The 19381-nt window shown below is 38.7% G+C and overlaps 1 protein-coding gene and 1 long non-coding RNA gene across 3 annotated transcripts in view, besides 1 other annotated feature; both read left to right on the top strand.

Moving 5' to 3' along the window:
• The window catches only part of RNF144B (ring finger protein 144B), an 81521-nt gene that overhangs the window by 19941 nt on the left and 42199 nt on the right, over nt 1-19381 (top strand). The gene's annotated exons all lie outside the window — the stretch shown is intronic.
• Nucleotides 7342-8541: an enhancer, noted in NCBI's record as "MED14-independent group 3 enhancer chr6:18414863-18416062 (GRCh37/hg19 assembly coordinates)". NCBI's record gives its function as "activates an origin of replication core promoter dependent on BRD2, BRD4, P300/CBP and CDK7 cofactors, and independent of MED14, by STARR-seq in HCT116 cells {active_cell/tissue: HCT116}" and the evidence as "EXISTENCE:reporter gene assay evidence [ECO:0000049][PMID:35650434]".
• LOC124901271 (uncharacterized) lies at nt 14001-16702 on the top strand. Its single transcript, XR_007059487.1, has 2 exons — nt 14001-15169; nt 16243-16702. It is a non-coding gene; the product is annotated as an uncharacterized LOC124901271 (long non-coding RNA).

Below are 19381 nucleotides of genomic sequence, written 5' to 3' on the forward strand. Positions count from 1 at the left end.
TAATAATCCAGGCCAGAGATGATAGTGGCCTGGACCAGCAGATGGTAGGGGTTAATGTCTTTGGGCAGTCTATTGGGTCATTTTCTTTCATGTAATATAGGGATAATAAGAAATCATCTCACAAGATTATATAGAAGATTACAGTAGATAATCTAGATAAATTACTTAGTACACTGCCAGAATACAGCTAGCATATATAGCTCTACTCTTTTTAGTGTGGTTATCTAGCTTTTGACTGATAATTTCCAGGATTGGGACATACCATAGTACTGACTATTCAATTATTGGAAATTTCTAAATTGAAACCATCTTTGCTCTACATTCATTTGAAACTGGTTTCTATGTAAATTCTAACTATTAGCGTTACTTCCACTCTCTAAAATAAAATTGGTTAGAATCTAATTTTACTATTCCTGGTTGAAATCTAATTCTACTCACTAGCTGCATATTATTTGAATGAAGGTTATCTTTTTTTTAGAGGGCGGACGTCAGATTACTCATGAAAAATTCTCCTATAGTGCTCAGTCCAATGTAGGAAATAGTGAGCTATCTAGTAGTGAGATAAGTAGGCCTGCTATTAGTTCCAATTCTGTCAATAACTCTATGACTCGAATCAAGTTATTTCTCTAGAATTTCCTCATTTGTAAAAATGGTGGCTTGGTTTGGAATTTTTCTTTTTCTTTCTTTCTTTTTCTTTTTTTTTTTTTTTTTCCAGACAGAATCTCATTTTGTTGCCCAGGCTGGAGTACAGTGGTGCGATCTCAGCTCACTGTGACCTTTGCCTCCTGGGTTCAAGTGATTCTCCTGCCTTAGCCTCCTGAGTAGCTGGGATTATAGGTGCCTGTCACCATGCCCGGCTAATTTTTGTACTTTTAATAGAGATGGGGTTTCACCATGTTGGTCAGCCTGGTCTGGAACTCCTGACCTCAAGTGTTCCTCCCGCCTTGGCCTCCCAAAGTGCTGGGATTACAGATGTGAGCCACTGTACCCAGCTTGAGATTTTTCTAAAACCATGATTTCTTTTTCTTCATCATTTTCTCTTCTTTAAGCTGAGAATCCTCAATTACTTTAACCAGCCAAATTGTTTTCCTATGGGAGGTTTCAGTTTGGTAAGGAAGATATATCATTCATCTTACTAGTTACTATTTTAATATGCATTTATCTTCTACATTTAGGTCCTGTAATCAAATTAGCATGATCTTATTCTATTTTGGATGGAAACATGACTGTAGTGGAAACTGTGGCATTCACTCGGATCCCTCTTCAGGGCAATGTTTCTATCCTCCATTTCCCAGGGACTGGCTTATGGAACAATGACTGATTGCTACAGGGATATAAAGGTCTTTCCCTTTCAGCTTAATGAGGTGCCGCTGCGAAGGGCCCTTCCTACCTTGAGAGTACCCTGTTGGAATGTAGGGCCAGATCAGACCCTGGCTGCAGCTGCATGGCGGGTCAGGATCTCCCTCTGCCCACTTCTATTCTCCTTACTTCCTTATAGGCATGACTTTGGTGAGAGTATACCCCATACTCTTCTAAATGGAATTCTCCATCCCTGAATCAATTTCTAGGGAACACAGTTAAAGACACAAATCCGTGAATTATTATTTTTCTTCTGGTAATGCCTCCACCTATATAGTCCAGAAAAGTGTTTTTTTTTTTTTTTTTTCTCTGCAAAATGAGCATCTCATGACCTTTACAGGGTCTGCCTTTCATCCCATTGCCTCTAAGTTAACTAATAAAGTGTGATATATTCCTTAAGTGTGTTATATTCCTGCTTTATTAGTATATTTACACAATTCTATAGAAACTGGAAAATTTGGCTAGGTGTGGTGTCTCATGCACTTTGGGAGGCCGAGGCGGGTGGATCACTTGGGGCCAGGAATTTGAGACCAGCCTAGCCACCATGGTGAGACCCTGTCTTTACTGAAAATACAAAAATTTGCCAGGCACAGTGGCGCACACCTGTAATCCCAGCTATTTGGGAGGCTGAGGCATGAGAACTGCTTGAACCCGGGAAGTGGAGGTTGCAGTGAGCTGAGATCTTGCCACTGCACTCCAGCCCGGGCACCTGAGTGAGACTGTCTCAAAAAAAAAAAAAAAAAAAAAAAAAAAACCCTGGAAAACTCTTCTTTTTCTGGGTAGATCTCTTTGAACATACTTTAACATATCTTACCTTCTTGCCATAGGTATATTAAGAAATAGTAACTTATGCCCTCCCCCACCCTCTTGGGTTGACAGAATTCTTTTGGGACAAACTTCACTTGCATAACCTTTTTTTTTTTTTTTTTTTACTTTTTGAGATGGAGTTTTGCTCTTGTCCCCCAGGCTGGAGTGCAATGGCACGATCTTGACTCATTGCAACCTCCGCCTCCTGGGTTCACGCAGTTCTCCTGCCTCAGCCTCCTGAGTAGCTGGGATTACAGGCAGGTGCCATCATGCTGGCTAATTTTTGTATTTTTAGTAGAGATGGGATTTCACCTTGTTGGCCAAGCTGGTCTCGATGTCCTGACCTCAAGTGACCTGCCCGCCTTGTCTTCCCAAACTGTTAGGATTACAGGCGTGAGCCACTGCGCCCCGGCCTACATAACATTTTTTACTTCGATCATAGGCGTAACAAGTACTTTAGGCTTGGTATTCGGGTAAGGGGTGATGTTATAATGTGGAACAGAATTTTATTTCTTTTTACAAAGGAAGTTGTGAAAAGATAGTTTGGTGATCTGTGCTTGTATGTTGTGTAGACTTTTCCCCCCTTAAGCATGCCTTTGCCAAAGTTTAATTCTTCAAACCACATATCAGAATGTAATAGGCTGGCCAAACATGCAAATCATGACCAGAGAGCAGGCAAAAGTTGGTTTCTGATGAGAGAACTTTTCCATTGTTGCCACTAAGTCACCAAAGTTTATGTATTTCTTCTTTTGAAGTTGCACCCTTATTCCAATATTCTCTAAGTCTATTCCCACCTTTGTCCAGACTCTACTGATCCATTTGGTACTAGTGTGTGCCAGGCATGGTGTTAATTGTGGAGCAAGTGGCAGTCATCAGACACAACCAGCCCTGCTGTTATGTGGGCAGTAGACCCTCTGATAAAGGAAGTACAATATGTTATAAAGCATACAGAAACCCACCTAAAATAGACTCAGGGAGGTAGGAGGTTTCCTAAGGGCTGAGACTGAAAGATAATAGGGATTGCTTGATGGCATTGTTGATGGGGCTGTGGGTGAGAACAGTGCTCCAGGGAAAAGAGGCCAGCCACATGTGAGAACACAGAATCAGGGAAGAGTGACCTGCTGAGGAACCAAACCGGAAGATGTTCCTGGGACACATTGTTGGAAGTGTGGGTGTGCTCAGGCAGGAGGCCAGAGAGGCAAGCAGAGACTAGATGGAGGGCCTGGTATGCTGTGTTAAAAAAACATTATGGAGCCACTGGAAGGCTTTGTTTGGGAATGAGATAGGGAGGATGGCGTCGGTACAGGATAGAGAATGGACTGAAAGTGGGCAAGGCTGGAGCAGGAGGAGGGAACCATGGCAGGCTGAAGCAGAGCTCGGAGAACAATGTCCTTATCAACTTAGGATACATGTGTATGGCAGACTGCAGTTTTGATGCCTGGAGTATTTAAATTATTTTTGTGCCCCAATTTCTCTTTTTTCCTATCCATTTGGGATACTGTCAGCTTTCTTTTCTTTTTTTTTCTTCTTTTCTTTTCTTTTTTTTTGAGACGGAGTCTCATTCTGTTGCCAGGCTGGAGTGCAGTGGCGTGATCTCTGCTCACTGCAACCTCCGCCTCCCGGGTTCAAGCAGTTCTCCTACCTCAGCCTCCTGAGTAGCTGGGACTACAGGCACGTGCCACCACTCCCAGGGAATTTTTGTATTTTTAGTAGAGACGGGATTTCACCATGTTAGCCAGGATGGTCTCGATCTCCTGATCTTATGATCTGCCTGCCTCGGCCTCCCAAAGTGCTGGGATTACAGGAATAAGCCACCGTGCCCAGTGAAAGTACATTTTTAAAAATCATGGCTAGTACTCATAGAAGAAATAGGACCCTAAAGTACAAAATAATCATGTTTCAGGGCTCTCTTGGTTTATTACATTGAAGATAATTTTTAATTATAAATGTAACACATGCTAATTTAAAAATAAACCAAAAAACCTCAAAAAGCATGTGCATGATTCATATATATATATATATATATATATATATATATATATTTTTTTTTTTTTTTTTTTTTTTTGAGACGGAGTTGTGCCCTGTCGCTCAGGGTGGAGTACAGTGGTGTGATCTCGGCTCATTGCAATCTCTGCCTCCTGGGTTCAAGTGATTCTTCTGCCTCAGCCTCCCAAGTAGCTGGGATTACAAACATGCGCCACCGCACCCAACTAATTTTTGTATTTTTAGTACAGAGGGGGTTGGCCAGGCTGGTCTCGAGCTCCTGACCTCAGGTGATCTGTCCACCTCAGCCTCCCAAAGTGCTGGGATTACAGGCGTGAGCCACCACGCCCAGCCCACCTGTACTTTCTTCTAGACTCTTTCCCTGTGTACTTACGCACATCACTTAATAGAGAAATGGGATCTTTAACTACAGATACTTTTAACTTGAGTTTTACAAACATAGTACATTGTGGACAAGTTTCTGTGCAAAAATATACAGACCAACCTTCCTTTTTAAGTATTGTATAGTGTTCTATGATATGGTTGTATGAAAATTTATTTAACTGGGCCCCTCCTAAATAATGGATTTTAAGGTTGTTTCTAGTTTTTGCTATTATGAATACATTTTTTTTACTTATATAAATGTGAAAATACCTGTCCTTAGGATAACTTTTTAGAAATAGAATTGCCTAACCAAAATAGATGTACATTTTAAATCAGTATGTGTTACCAAATTACTGTTCCAAACTGTTGCACCAGCTTGGCAACTCCACCAACAGAGTAGGAACAGAGGCCTCTCTTTTGACACTCCGGGTATTTTCCAACTTTTCACCTTCTGTAATCTGGTATGTGAAAAGAACATATCTCATGGTTTAATCCATACTTCCTCTTTTTAGGAGGAAGCAAATTGTTGTAAGAGAAGCTCATCTCATGAATCTATCTTTAAAAAACATACAGTATGCTCAGTGCCAGTATAGTTTCAACTGATTTTATACCTTGGTATTAATAGTAATCAAGTTAGAAAAAAATGGGCCATATCTAGAAAAGTATATTACACATAGAAGACATGAATGAATGAAAAAATGGTGGTGTTCAGACTGAGGGAGATGCCTTATCACACAAAAAAATTCATGTCCAGTGACAAAATGTTACTAAGTAGGTAAAGGAGGTTTAAAAAATTTAGGCAAGTTGAAAAAGGGTGGTGAGTTAACTAGAAAATTCAGTTTTTTAAAATCCCATTTTCTGTATATTTCAGTTCATTAAAGATTGGTTATATAAGGCTTATCTATGTGGATTCCAGATATGCAGTGTACCCCTTGGAATCAGGTGAGACACAGTGCCTCATTTCCATGGAAATACATGGCTCTGTGTTAACTGAAAGCCTCCATGGTTTTGAATCATTTCCCACCCACAGTAAGGAGGTCTTTTTGGTTTGACTCTTCTGGAAAATATGTGTGAGGTATTTACTACATGAATGTAGGGTATTTTTTCAATCTGCTTAAACCTCATTTTATTCATCTGTTTAAAAAAATTACGGAAGGAAAAGCAAGGGCATTTGAGTACCTTTCATATAATATGTAATATGCAAGGGTACTATTTTTTCCCCCATTTACTCTTCCAGTTTACAGATAAACCAATTCAGAGTTAAATAACTTGCCCAGGATCTGTAATGTTAATCCCTACATCATAGTGTCGTTTGGAAGAAATAAAAACAAGCTCTGTGAAAATATATAATGTATGGCCTAGCACATAGTATGTGGTTCCTAAATTTTTTTTGTTAGCATGAAAATGGATGAAGGCCCATATTTGGCTTTTGTGATCTTAACCTGAAATGTCTAAAGCTTGACAATAGCCTATAAAATGCAAAATTGACAACTGGCTACTGATTTTATATACGTAAAAGTTTAGTCAGTACAAAACAAATGTAAAGAACTACTGGTTTAAAAAATCCAAGGAGTTTTTCAGAGAACAGAAAGTATGTAATCAGAATATAGTGGTGGCCATGGCCTCATATTAGAGATTGAGCATGAACATGAGTGTTCTGTGAACTTTCCACTGTGTGATTTCGGGTAAGTTATTTGAGGAAACCAAGGCCGAGACATTCAGAGGTCTGATTTACACAACTGGAAGTTCCCAGTGCATTTAGCATATTTTCAGATGTTGAAACTGAAGTCAAGGTTCAAGGCCAGGCATTCTGCCTCAATGACTGATGTTCTCCCACCCTCCAGGCGCATTGTGTCTGTGGAAGTTACTGGTGTTCTTAAGAGGACCTCAGTCTGACGGTTGTTTCCAAGTGATTCTTCTGTGTTGAGGGTGTTTAATGCATGGGTTACTGCAGAGCACAGAGACCTTTTCTGCAAATGGAAAAAAATATTATAGCTTAACATCTGCTTTCCCTAGGTAATGTGTTAATTAAAGATTGTTTTAATATGGAATGATGTCTAGCCTTTGAAAAACTTTATCTTACGGTTTATGGTATTGATAACCTTCAGAAAAGGAAGACTGGTTCAAATTATGTCAATTAATATGAAAAAAGCCCACTCAATATGAAGCCCCTTGACTTCTAAAAACTTGCTTTTTAGAAAATGTTAAAAAAAATTCCAGGTTTTGCAGGATAAATCCTCGGGGGAATATTGTGAGGTGAGGAATAGTCGTGGTCTTGATGCAATGTAACTTATAATTAGAAAGATGCTGATTTTGCTGTGGAGTCATTGAATATCATTATTTCAAAATAATTTTGAATAAAATGAGATTTCTAATAACCAACCTAGTCATTGTCCAACCTTTTCTACTTTTTCAGAGTTCAGTTCTCTTAAATCTAAGAGATTCTCTTTTGTAATGTAGCTCAAGAGGAAGTTTAAGGGTTAGGTCTATTCTTAACTGATGTCCCTTGTTCCTATCATTCCATGTATAGAAATAATATCTTCTTGAGGAAACTGTTAAGCGTCACTCTTTCCCAACTTTTGGGTCATTAATATGAGCTATTTTGCATGCTGGCTTTGTAGGTTATATCCTGTAGGAAAAAATGTTGGTGATGAGTTAGCTTTATTCTGTCACTTATACAGTGTTAATATTCTTTTAAAATTTCAAAAATTCAGATAGTTATTAATATTGCTACCACTAGTTTTATTTAAAAATGTTTTAATTTGTATAGATACGTAGTAGGTATATATATGATTAGTTTTAATTAAGATATTATTTCATTATAATTTATTCAAACTGGTTTAAATACTGAGACAGATTTTATTTAAAATATAGGATTTCTGCTTTTAAGCAGTATTAAAATCTGAGATTTGATGAATGGTATAAATTTTATCTTTTGCTTTTAGTTTTAAAATATTGTACAACATCCTGTTTCTATTCTTGAAGGTGAAAAAGAACAAAAACTTTTAAAAAGATGGAAAAAATTGTACAACAGTTTGTTATGAAACAAGATAAAGATTTTTACAACAAATACCTGTAGAGTTATCCCTTGGTATCTTCAGGATATTGGTTCCAAGCCCCTTCCCACTCCCCACCCCAAAGATACCCAAATTCATGAATGCTCAAGTCCCTTATATAGAATGGTGTAGTATTTGCATGTAACCTATGTACATCCTCCCATATACTTTAAATCATCTTTAGGTAACTTATAATATCTAATACAATGTAAATCTATATAAATGGGTTTTCTACTGTATTTTTTGTGTATTTCTTATTGTGATTTTAAAAATATATTTTCTGTCCGTGGTTGGTTGAATCCATGGATGTGAAATCTGAGGACGGGGGGCTGACCGTATACCAACTATCTCTTAGATTGTGCCTAAGTCCTTTTGTGTTGATATAACAAAATACGCGAGACTAGGTAATTTATCAACAACAGAAATCCACTACTCATAGTTCTGAAGGCTGGAAAGTCCAATATCAACGTGCTGGCAGGATTGGTGTCCCGTGATGGCGGCTCTCTGCTTCCAAGATGGCGTCTTACTGTTGCTTCCTCTGGAGGGGAGAAATTCTGTGTCCTCACGTGACAGAAGAGATGGAAGGGCAAGAGAGCACTCCCTTTAACCTTGAGCCCTTTCATAAGGGTGCCAGTTCCATTCATGAGAGTGGGGTCTTCGTGACTTAATCACCTCCCGTGGGGGTTCAGTTTTAACGTAAATTTTGAAGGGGACACCATCATTCAAATCATAGCGGATTCTAACATTAACTTTTTGCTTGCTTTATCACATATCTCTCCGTCTGTTTAGCCTGCTGTCCTTTGCATGGTGTAGTTTAATATTCATTCTGCATTCTCTAGTGGAATGTGAGTACTCAATGTGTTTGCTTAGATTGGGTTGAATGGTTATATTTTATTCAGGTGACTAGCATAGCCGTACCTCATGGTTGAAGGGGTTTCTTGAACCTTTACTAACTTGGGTTTTGTTTTTTTTTTCTGTGTTGCTGGGACCTTAAGTGCACTTTTAGAGATTCAGAAGCGCTAACAGTTCAAGCAGAGACTCTAATAGTAGGAGGAAGAATGAAATGACAAATGAATTCAGTGGAATCTGGCTATGCTGAATCCGTGGTATGCTTATTCTCACTGCCTGTGCTGGGTCTGTGTGCTAAGGCTTTGGTGTCAGCTGAGGGCTTACAGTTCTGAAGGCTAATGTTTCTTTGGAGAAAGTAGAAGGATGTAAACTTGGCAAGCCTTCTTGTTTTCTTTCTCCTGGAATGGTCAGTTACTTTTCTGAGCATACTGTGTCATAAGATAGCACCTGGGCCAGAGGGATCTCTTTGGGATTAGTATAAAAAGTGGGGCCTCCTTCTGTTAAGAAAGGCAGCACAAGTGGGACAAAAGGAAACTCCTCTGAAAGGTTAATGGATGAGTGATTGAATTACTCAAATTGGAAGCAGATTTTTCCAACGCTAGTGCCAGTTCACTGCTCTGATTGGAATGTTCTTCCATTTTAGCAAATTTGTTTGGCTTTCTTGTGAAGCCTGGACCAGGCTGCAGCATTTCCAATGGGTTTCTCTTCAGAGCTATTTCTGTCATAGAGTTTCTTAATTTAGATATTTCATGATCATTTGAGATAAAGATAGACGTGTTTGATCACTCTTGGTTGGTGGGAACTGGAGGTACTTTTGATTGGAGTCCAGATTTAATCTCCCATATTGAATGACTGTCCTCAAACTTACAAGGTGGATCTTAGTAATCTTTTCCAGAAAATGTAACGGCACTATTTTGGGCTAAAGTATTTAAAGGCTCTCAATCAGAGTTTTAAATTTTGCATATATAATTTCCCCCTTAAGCTTCCTTTGCTGTTTCTTTTGGAACTAGCTGAATGCTTGTATTCTCTATGGAGAGGTTGGGTAGAAAAGAGTGATGAGGGGCATAAAAGTATCTTCCCTGATTAGAATGGAGGGCATGGGTGGTACTGAACTAGTGGTGCTTAGACTTGGTTGCAAATGGGAATCACTTCAAGAGTTTAAAAATATTGATAACAGTTCAGCAAGGTGGCAGAATATAAGATCAATGTACAGAATCAATTGTATTTCCATATACTAGTAAGAAATAATATAATTGCATTAATAAGAAAATAATTCCATTTACAATATCATTAAAAGGAATAAAATATTTAGGGATAAATTTACCAAAGTAGAAAATTCTCTGAAAACTGCAAAATACTCTAGAAAGAAATTTTAAAAGACTAAATAAAAGATATCCCATCTTCATGGATTGGAAGACTTGTTAAGGTGGCAGTACTCCCCAAATGGATTTACAGATTCAACACACCTCTTGTAAAAATTCCGACTAAATTCTAGGCTTATCCCAAAATTCCTATGGAAATTTGAGCAACCTAGAATGGTGAAACAATCTGGAAAAAGAACAGAGTTGGAGAGCTCTATTCCTCATTTCAAAACTGATTACAGAGCGACAGTAATCAAAACATTGTGATACTGTCATGAGGATGGACAGATAGATCAATGGAATAGAATTGAGAGTCCATAAATAAATAAATAAATCTTATTTTTTGTCATTTGATTTTCAACAAGGGTGCCAAGACAATTCAAAGAGGAAAGAAATGTTTTTCAGCAAATGGTGCTGGACAACTGGATATCTGTTTGCAAAAGAATTAAGATGTCTGTGATCTTCCTCATACCACAGACAAACATTAACAAAAATGGACCATACACCTATAACAGCTGAAACTATAGAACTCTTAGAAGAAGAAAACATAGGAAAATAGAAAAATTTTCATGATCTTGGGTTAGGCAAGACATTCTTAGATGTGACACCAAAAGCATAAGCGACAAAAGAAAAAGCAGATAAATTGGACTTCATCAAAATTAAAGACCTTTTTGCTTCAATGGACATCATCAAGAAAGTTAAAAGATAACTCACAGAATGGGAGGAAATATTTGCAAGTCATATCTCATAAGGGATACAGCTAGAATATATAAAGAATTCTTACAACTCAGTAATGAAAACACAAATAACTCAGTTACAAATAGATGAAAGTATAGATAGTTCTGAATAGGGACTTCTTCAGAGATGATGTACAAATTACCAATAAGCATGTGAAAAGATGCTCAAAATCACTAGCCAACAGGGCAATGCAAATCGAAACCACAATGATATTCGACTTCACATTAAGATGGCTATAATAAAAAAGACAGAAAATAACGAGTTTTGATGAGAATTTAAAGAAGTTGAAACTCTCATACACTGCTGGTGGGAATGGAAAATGATGCAATTGCTTTGGAAAATCATCTAGCAGTTCCTCAAAAGGCAAAGATAGAGTTACCATATACCATACCTACTCCTAGGTAAATATCCAAGAGAAACGAAAATGTATGTCCACATGAAAACTTGCTCATAGCAGCATAATTCATAATACCACTCAACTGGAAACAACCCAAATGTCCATCAACTGATGAAAGTATAAACAAAATGTGGTATATTCACACAATGGCATACTATTCAGCAATAAAATAAATGAAGTACCAATACATGCTACAACATGTATGAATCTTGAAAACATTATGCTAAGTGAAGCCATTGACAAAGGACCATATATTGTATCATTCCATTTATATGAAATGTAGAGAGTAGGAAGATCTATACATACAGAAAGTCAAATGGTGGTTCCCTAGGGCTGTGCATGGAGGATCTGGGGGAGAAATGGGGAGCATGTACTAATGGGCACAGAGTTTCTTTTGGGATTATGAAATGTTCTAAAATCAAATTTGGTGATAGTTATACACTGTGAATATACTAAAAATACTGAATTGTACACTTTAGATGGGTGCATTGTATGGGTACGTGAATTATATCTCAGTTATAGATATCTGAATTATATCTCAATAAAACATGACATAATATAAAATATATAATATTTACATATCATATATAATAATGCTATATATATAATATACACTGACACCTGGATCCTTCTCTTAGAGAGTCTGAATTAATTGGTCTGTGGTATGGCCTGGGCATTGGACTTCTGGAAACCTTCCCAGATAATTCTATTAAAAAGCTGATGTGGAGAATCTTTGACATGGGTCTTGGTACTTACAAGTGTGGTTTGTGTGCCAGTGGCACCAACGAGACCTGGGAACTTACAAGGAGGGCAAAACCTCAGACCCCACCCAAGATCCACTGAATCAGAATCTGCATTTTTGATGGGATCCTCAAATAACTTGGATGGACATTCAAGTTTGAGAAACATTGTCAGTAAGGTAGTTGAATAGTAAGGCAGGCGAATGTTATCTCTGAAGTTCCTTATCCTCTGTCCATCCACCCCTCCTCCTCCTGCCTATGGCTTTTTATTAAGGATACCCTTCCCAGTAGTGTCCCATATCTTCCAGTGTTTCTTGTCCATAAAAACATACCAGGCTTAGATCATTTTCTTCGGGGGCACTGCTCTCTGCTAGGGAACCACTGGCCTTTTGGGATATATTCTCCTGAGAGCAAATAGGCAGTGGACTAGCACAACTGGTTCTATATAGCAAATGAGGCGACCCAGGAAGAAAGTGTAGAAAGAAGAGAGTTTAGGTCCTTTCCTGAAATTCCAGCATTTAAAAGTTGAGTTGAGGAAAATGCAGAAGATTGAGAAAGAGTGACTAGAGAGGAAGAATGAAAACCAGAAGAGTATGGGATCCAGAAGACAAGGGGAAAAAGGGTTTCAGGAAGGTGGGAGTGGTTAGCTGTGTGTGATACTGCTGTTGAGAGGTTGGGAAGGAAGAAATGTGTACTGGATTCAGTGACCTAGAGCCACTTCAGTTGAGTGGCAGGGAGGAGTTGGGATGGGATTGGTGAAGGAGTGAGGGAAGACAACTCTTTCAAACATTTGATTGTGAAGAGTTGAGGAGTGAAGAAGGCAGTATACAGCCAGGAAGAGGAGTGAGAGAGGGCTGTTCTATGCTGTTTTATTATGACTTTTCTTTGATTTCTTTGATTAGGATATTTTGAACATGTTCAAGTATAGACAGGACAAAATTCAAGACATAGGAAAGAAAACAGGTAATGAATAGGTAAATTTCCTGAAAGGCAGGAGGAGATGGGAACCAGAAAAGCAGAGTTGGCTCCTATGTGTCAAGAAAAGAAGAACAGAGGATGGATGTGTGTTTGGGTGGGTTCATATGTTTCAGTTATCAGAGGTGAAGGAGCTTGGCCACAAAGTTGAGCACAGACTGAGTATCCCCTATCTCCTTATCTGAAATGCTTGGGACCAGTAGTGTTTCGGGTTTCTGATTTTTTTTTTGATTTTGGAATATTTGCATTATACTTACTAGTCTACCATCTCTAATCTGAAAATCTAAAGTCTAAAATCCTCCAATAAGCATTTCCTTTGAGCACCATATTGGTGCTTAAAAAGTTTTGGATTTTGGAGCATTTCAGATTTTGGATTTTCAGATTAGGGATACTCAACCAGTAAGTGCTGGATTCAGGCTTCCAGCTCTCAGAGAAGCCTGAGTGTCTACTATGTGCCAGGTCCTGTGATTGATTAGGTGCTTGTAGGGGACATGAAGAGGAGCAGATATAATCTAGATCTAGAAGGAGCTTCTAGGCTATAGAGGAGGCAGGCAAGTTGATAGTCATTTGCAATGCAGCATGCTGGGCGTGCTACATTGCTCATGTGTACAATAAACATCTGGTGTTACCTACGGTCATCATAGAAAGGTTGGCAAGTAGAGGAGGAAAAGCCAAGTCTTCTGGAGAATTTGGGGAGCGGGGGAGGTTGCATCATTTATAAAATTCCTTCTGGATAGTCTGATATTCTAGTATGTCCCCAAGTGAGAAGGCAATACCACCAGCCTCACTGCTATTGAGAATCAGTCCATTCTCCCTCCTTTTGATGATTTTATGTGGCTTCCTTTTGAAGGGGAAAAGAATTGGAACTTAATATCAAACTATTTTAAAATTTCCTTTATTAGAGTCTTACGAAAACTTATACAAACATGATACTAAGTAGTATATAAGCATATTTAGGCATATATCTCTTAAAGAATAAGAACACCACAATAATTATACAAACTTAATATTGATTAAAATTACAGACCAATAAGGCCAGGCATAGTGGCTCATGCCTGAGATCTTAGCACTATGGGAGGCTGAGGCAGACAGATCACTTGAGCTCAGGAGTTCAAGATCAGCCTGAGCAACATGGCGAAACTCTGTCTCTACCAAAAATACAAAATAGCCTGGCATGGTGGTGCGCACCTGTGGTCCCAGCTACTCAGAGGCTGAGGTGAGAAGATTGCTTGACCCCAGGAGGCAGAGGTTGCAGTGAGCTGAGATCGTACCACTTCACTCCAGCCTGGGTGACAGAGTGAGAAACCATCTCAAAAAAAAAAATTATATATTATACACACACACACACACACACACACACACACACACACACACACATATATATAAAATAAAATTACAGACCAATAAAATGTAAGTTAACATTAATGTGATGAGTGATGTTTAACTTTGGGTAAATTGCTTTTTCCAGTTAGGCTCTGAGTTTGATGTGTTCCAATGACTAAGTGGTAATTCAGTGATCTTGTCACCTTTCTCTGTTGGAATCACTAAAAATTTTGACGTGTTCAGCATTCACTGGGCCCAGATTCTTCTCTTCTTTTTTTCATTTGCCTGTGACAATGATAGCACCCCTACGTGGCAAAGCAGGGTGGCACCACAGACCAAGGGTTAGCACGGACACTGGGTGGAAACAGGAAATTTCCTGAGGTGGTTCCAGGCATGCTTTTATTAAGAGCATTGAATAAACATAAAATGGGGAAAATCTTGCCATGAAGAACTCTTGGGTTCCCAAGAATACACCTTTGCACGCAGTTTGAAAAATACAGTGCGAGCTGGGCCTTAGGGTGCTATGAGGGCAGACGGGCTGGGTGTGCTGCCACACTAGGGGATGAGGCAGGGAAGGCTTCTGGAATGAAAAGGGATGAGGGACGAGAACTGTCAAACCAAGGTCTCTTTTAAACTGTGCTTATTTATGGCTTGCTGTTTGATTTGGTGCTTTTTCCTTTAATCATTTGGTGCCAGGTTTTCCTATCAGTCCTTTCATGTCCTATATGGTTGGCCAACACCTACAAGGGGGAGGTTGGTCACCTAAGTAATCTCATATTGGTGAAAAAGCCAAGGTATCTGAAAGGGGTTTTGTAAGAAAAATTTTAGGATCGGACTATACCAGGAAACAGCTTCCTGCCTAGCTATAGGTTGTTAATTTGTCTGAATATTTTCAAACCAGGATGCTTTTGGTGTGTTGGATAGGCTTTTGAGTAGGGAGAGATACTATCTTGAATTGTGCTAATAATTTAACTCAACAGCATCTAACAAAGGCAGTCTTATTCTTGGATCATGTGTACAGATCATAGTCTGAAGTGGAATAAGCAGAATGTTGTTCTCAGTGTGAGATGTTATTTAGAACACACTGGAAACATTGTGATGTCATTGTGCACTGAGGCAGGGAAATGTTAGTCTACATTTTATGGAATATGTACTTCAGTGTTTGCATTGTACCTGGAGTGATAAAAAGCAAAACAGGTACTCAAGACCTGTCTGGGCTTTGGCCTTTGGGCACATTCCCCCTCATCACCTTCCTTCCCACTTGGCTGAGCTATGGATGAGAAAACCTAGGTCAATAGTTCACCAACTCACCTTCAAGCCAGGTGGGCTGACAAGTCCTCCTTTGACCACAGGACCCCAGCGCCTGCATCCAGAAGCATCTAAGATCCTGGAAGTCAACTTAAATTTTCAATGAATGGGCCAGTTGCAGTGGCTCACACCTGTAATCCCAGCACTTTGGGAAGCTGAGGCGACAGGATTCTTTGAGCCCAGGAGTTTGAGACCAGCCTGCTTGGGCAACATAGACCCAATTTCAATCAATCAATCAATAGTCGAGTGTAGTGGCAGGCATCTGTAGCCTCAGCTACTGAGGAGCTGAGGTGGGAGGATCACTGAACCCAGGAGTTTGAGGTTTGCAATGAGCCATAATTGTGCCACTGCACCCTGGGCAACAGAGCAAGACCCAGTCTCAAAAAAAAAAAAAAATCAACTAATGGCACTCATTACCTCCTTCCTCTCAACAGTACCTATTCTCTTACCTATTCACCTCACCCTCATGAAGCTTTTCTAAGGTTCCTATTTGTCTGTGGACTTTCATTTCTGCATGCCTGCCTATTCAGAAACATCTATTCCATTCTCCAATTATACTTTACGTTTGCATACCTCTTTTCACTTTTCAAAGTGAATGGGGGACTCTCCATTTTCCCTGAGAGCAGCTTAGACAGGTGATATTGTCCCATTTTATAAATGAGAGCACTGTAGCTAGAGAGGTTAATGACTGGCTCAAGATGTAGAGGAGACTTTAGAGCTTGTGCTTCAACCTACATGGCTGGAATCCAGTTTCATTGGCTATAGATTATAATGCTTTATTTTTTCTTAGAAAAAAAAACTTTAGGTAGGGCATAATTTAGTGATAGAGAATGAGGAACTATATAGTACGTTTTTAAAAATATACATATATTCCCTGCCCACTCCTGTGATTTGTTCTTGGGTAGGTACATAGTAGCTTTGTCTTAACACTGTGACCCTTTTTGCCATGTCCATCATAATAGGTGAGAACACCTTATATGAAGAATGCCTGTGACTTTGGTACATCGGAATCTGATACCCTTGAAAGGGGTCTAGGAGACACCTGTTTCTGAGTAGATTCCATTGCATACAATTCATAGACTCTCAGAGTTGGAAGAGACAATATGAGTCGTCTGGTTCACCAGGTGTTTGGTTACATTTTTGGTTAGATCCCATATGAATCCTTAAAGGTTGTGGAGTGAGTTTGACGAACAATCCTTATTATTTTGCATGACCCTTCATGGCCTAAAAATAATTCTGTGTTTTACCAAACTAAGTAAAATGTTGACTATACAAAAGAAAAAGGTTTTTTTCCCTTGGGTCATTTGGGTTTTGAGATGTTCTATTTGAAACATTTTCCTTACAATTTGTTACCTGTTAAGAAAATTGCTTATTTAAATATCTGTTGAATGCTACTTAATAAATGTAACTTTCAAAATGTGACTAAATGGTGGTAGTTTTCTTTGTTAATAGTGATTATTTTATTTTGCCATTGTTGCATTGCTATAATTTGTTTTCATTTTCTTTGTTTCTCTCTTTATAAGCTAGATGCCAGTTTTCCCCCCTAGAATTGTTAACCATTTACCTGTGTTTTGTATGACATGCACATGGGATTCATGTGAACGTTTTCACTTATTTTGCACTTTTTAGCCAGAGATACAGAAGAAGAGAGGGACACTCGAGATTAAATGTTTTAGTGAAAGTTAATGGGCAGCATATAACAAGCCTGGGGTACTTGAAAATTCAGTAAAAAGCAATAACTAGGGCTGGTTGTTTTCCCTCTTTGCCTTTGAATAGAAATGCATGCCCACACTGATGGAATGTCAAGTGCCTGTGCTGTAGGACTACTTAGCAACCTGCCCTTACAAATCTCTATCTTGAACCAGTGTTTCTTAGCATTAAAAACAAAGGGTATGTGTACTTAAACCCTGGAGTCAGTGTACAGAGGTCTAACTTCTCACCCAAAATCGTGGGTCATATAATATTGTGGCCAGGAGAGTGCTTATAGGAAGTTTCAAAATTCATTTAGTTGATATATTGTGGTTTGTAGTGTACCTAGGAACATTACATTATTAGTAAGAGGCACATCCATTATAAGCTCTTGGGAAGGTGTATATTTCAACTTAACACATTTGCAGTTATATTTGAAATGAATGTGTTTGCCTATAAGGACTCACTTAGTATCTTTAGTTCCTATTTAATGCTAAACTTATTCTGTAGACCCAAATATTTCTAAGAGCCTTGCATAGAGGCACCTGGGATATTCTGTTACAAATATCTGTTCTGTCTACACAGCTTCTCCACCTTAAGTGGTTTAACTGGTGCTTTGCAGGGAGTGGAGAAAGGATATCTCAGAAGGTCAAAGGATTAACATTTTCCCACAAAGTCTTTGATGGAAAGTCTAAGACCAGGAGAAGAGGAGTAATAACATGACCTATTATTCTGTAATTTGCAAATTCATGAAGGGCTTCCATATATAAATTTCACGTGTATGTGTGTATGTGTGGGTGTGTGTGTGTGTGTGTTAAAACCTGTGAGGTAACTATAACAGGTATTATTGTCCCTACTTTTTAAATTAAGGAAAGCAAGTCTAGGTCATAGGCTAAGTCATTTTCCCATTGTCACCTAGTAAAGTGGACCCTCCACCCAGGTGTTAGGATCTGAAGTTCTTTGCATTGTTCACTTTGTTTTCCTCAAACACCTTCCCCTTGAGCCTGGAGACTATATCTTTCAGTCTTTTTACTTAAATTTCTTTAAGTGGCTGCTGGGGGTCAGTGGGAAGATCAAGGCAGTAACAATGGAACAGGTGTGGCTGATGGAAGGCTGAGATGTCCTCAGCAGCAGAACAGGATGGACAGGCTTTCACACTGTTTATTCATTTGTCCCCTGGCAAAACACTCCTTTTGGTGAGCCGCCTTGACTGTTCCCCTGGGTGTTCGCCTGCCCATTGACATTCTTCCCCATATTTCCTTGCTGCTGCTCTCTTCTATGTCCCACTGCTGCTGCTGCTGGATACCATGTTTGGCACAGTAAATCCTAGAGCAAGTGATTTTTCACCCTTCTGTTGAACAAGGAAGTCAGGGTTAAAACACAGTAATTATATGGCGGTCAAGTGCAAGAGAGGAGTGACTGCAGAGGATCCCTGTTCCCAGATACCTTTTATTCCTGAATTTATACTAAATCATGAGCATTTGTGCATGTCTTTTAAATATCATTTGAAGACTCTTTTCATGATTCTGCACATTCTATCGCATAAATTTAGCAACATTTATTTCAGTGTTCTATTTTGGGTATTTAGGTTATTTTCTAGTTTTTGCTGTGATGAATATTATAGAAAAAATTAACTCCTTGGAGAAAAAAACTGTTAACTATTTGAAGAGATACAAGTCTGGTTTAAATGGTTTGCCCTAGTCATTGATTCATCAGTACATTGTAAGTTATTTATAACCAGATAAATACATGATTAGTTTTCTGAAGTAATATAATAGTGATACTAGTTTTATTTTCAGGTGGAAAAAATGAGTAAAGATGGTCAATAACAGGGATAGATTTCACAATTACATCATCAATATTCTGACCCTAGAATTTTACTTTTGGCTCATGCTTTTATAAAAAGTTGGTGCAACAGCAATATTTTTAATGCAGTAAGTTGATACATAAATGTATAAATCTGAAAAATCTAAACCCAGTTGTAAATAATCACCACTTTGTAAGAGTCGTTGCTTCAGTGGCTGGCTTAAGTATTTTTGGTGGAATGTACTCCTCAACATTTGAACTTGACTTTTTTTTGGTCATGCATGTAGAAAAGGTTTACCGATTATGAGCAAATTAGTAGAAGTTGAAGAACCAATTACTTAGAGGTTTATTTCCTGGAACTACTGCCTTCAATTTCTTGTGCAGTTGCATAGAGAGGAATAGGGTGAGGCATTACAGGTTTCCATAAAGCTATCAGTCCCTCTCTTAACTTTTCAGTCAGACTCACATCTTCACCCACTGTCCAACATCCAGACACAACAGGCAGTGAGCAGACCAACTTTGTTCCTGGTGTTCTCCCTCTTCTCTCTGGGTTTCTTTTTTCTTTTCAGTTTCTTCTCTGGGCTTCTTTTTTTCTATTCAGTTTCT

This window comes from Homo sapiens, chromosome 6, assembly GCF_000001405.40.
Source record: "Homo sapiens chromosome 6, GRCh38.p14 Primary Assembly".
Classification (NCBI taxonomy): Eukaryota; Metazoa; Chordata; class Mammalia; order Primates; family Hominidae; genus Homo; species Homo sapiens.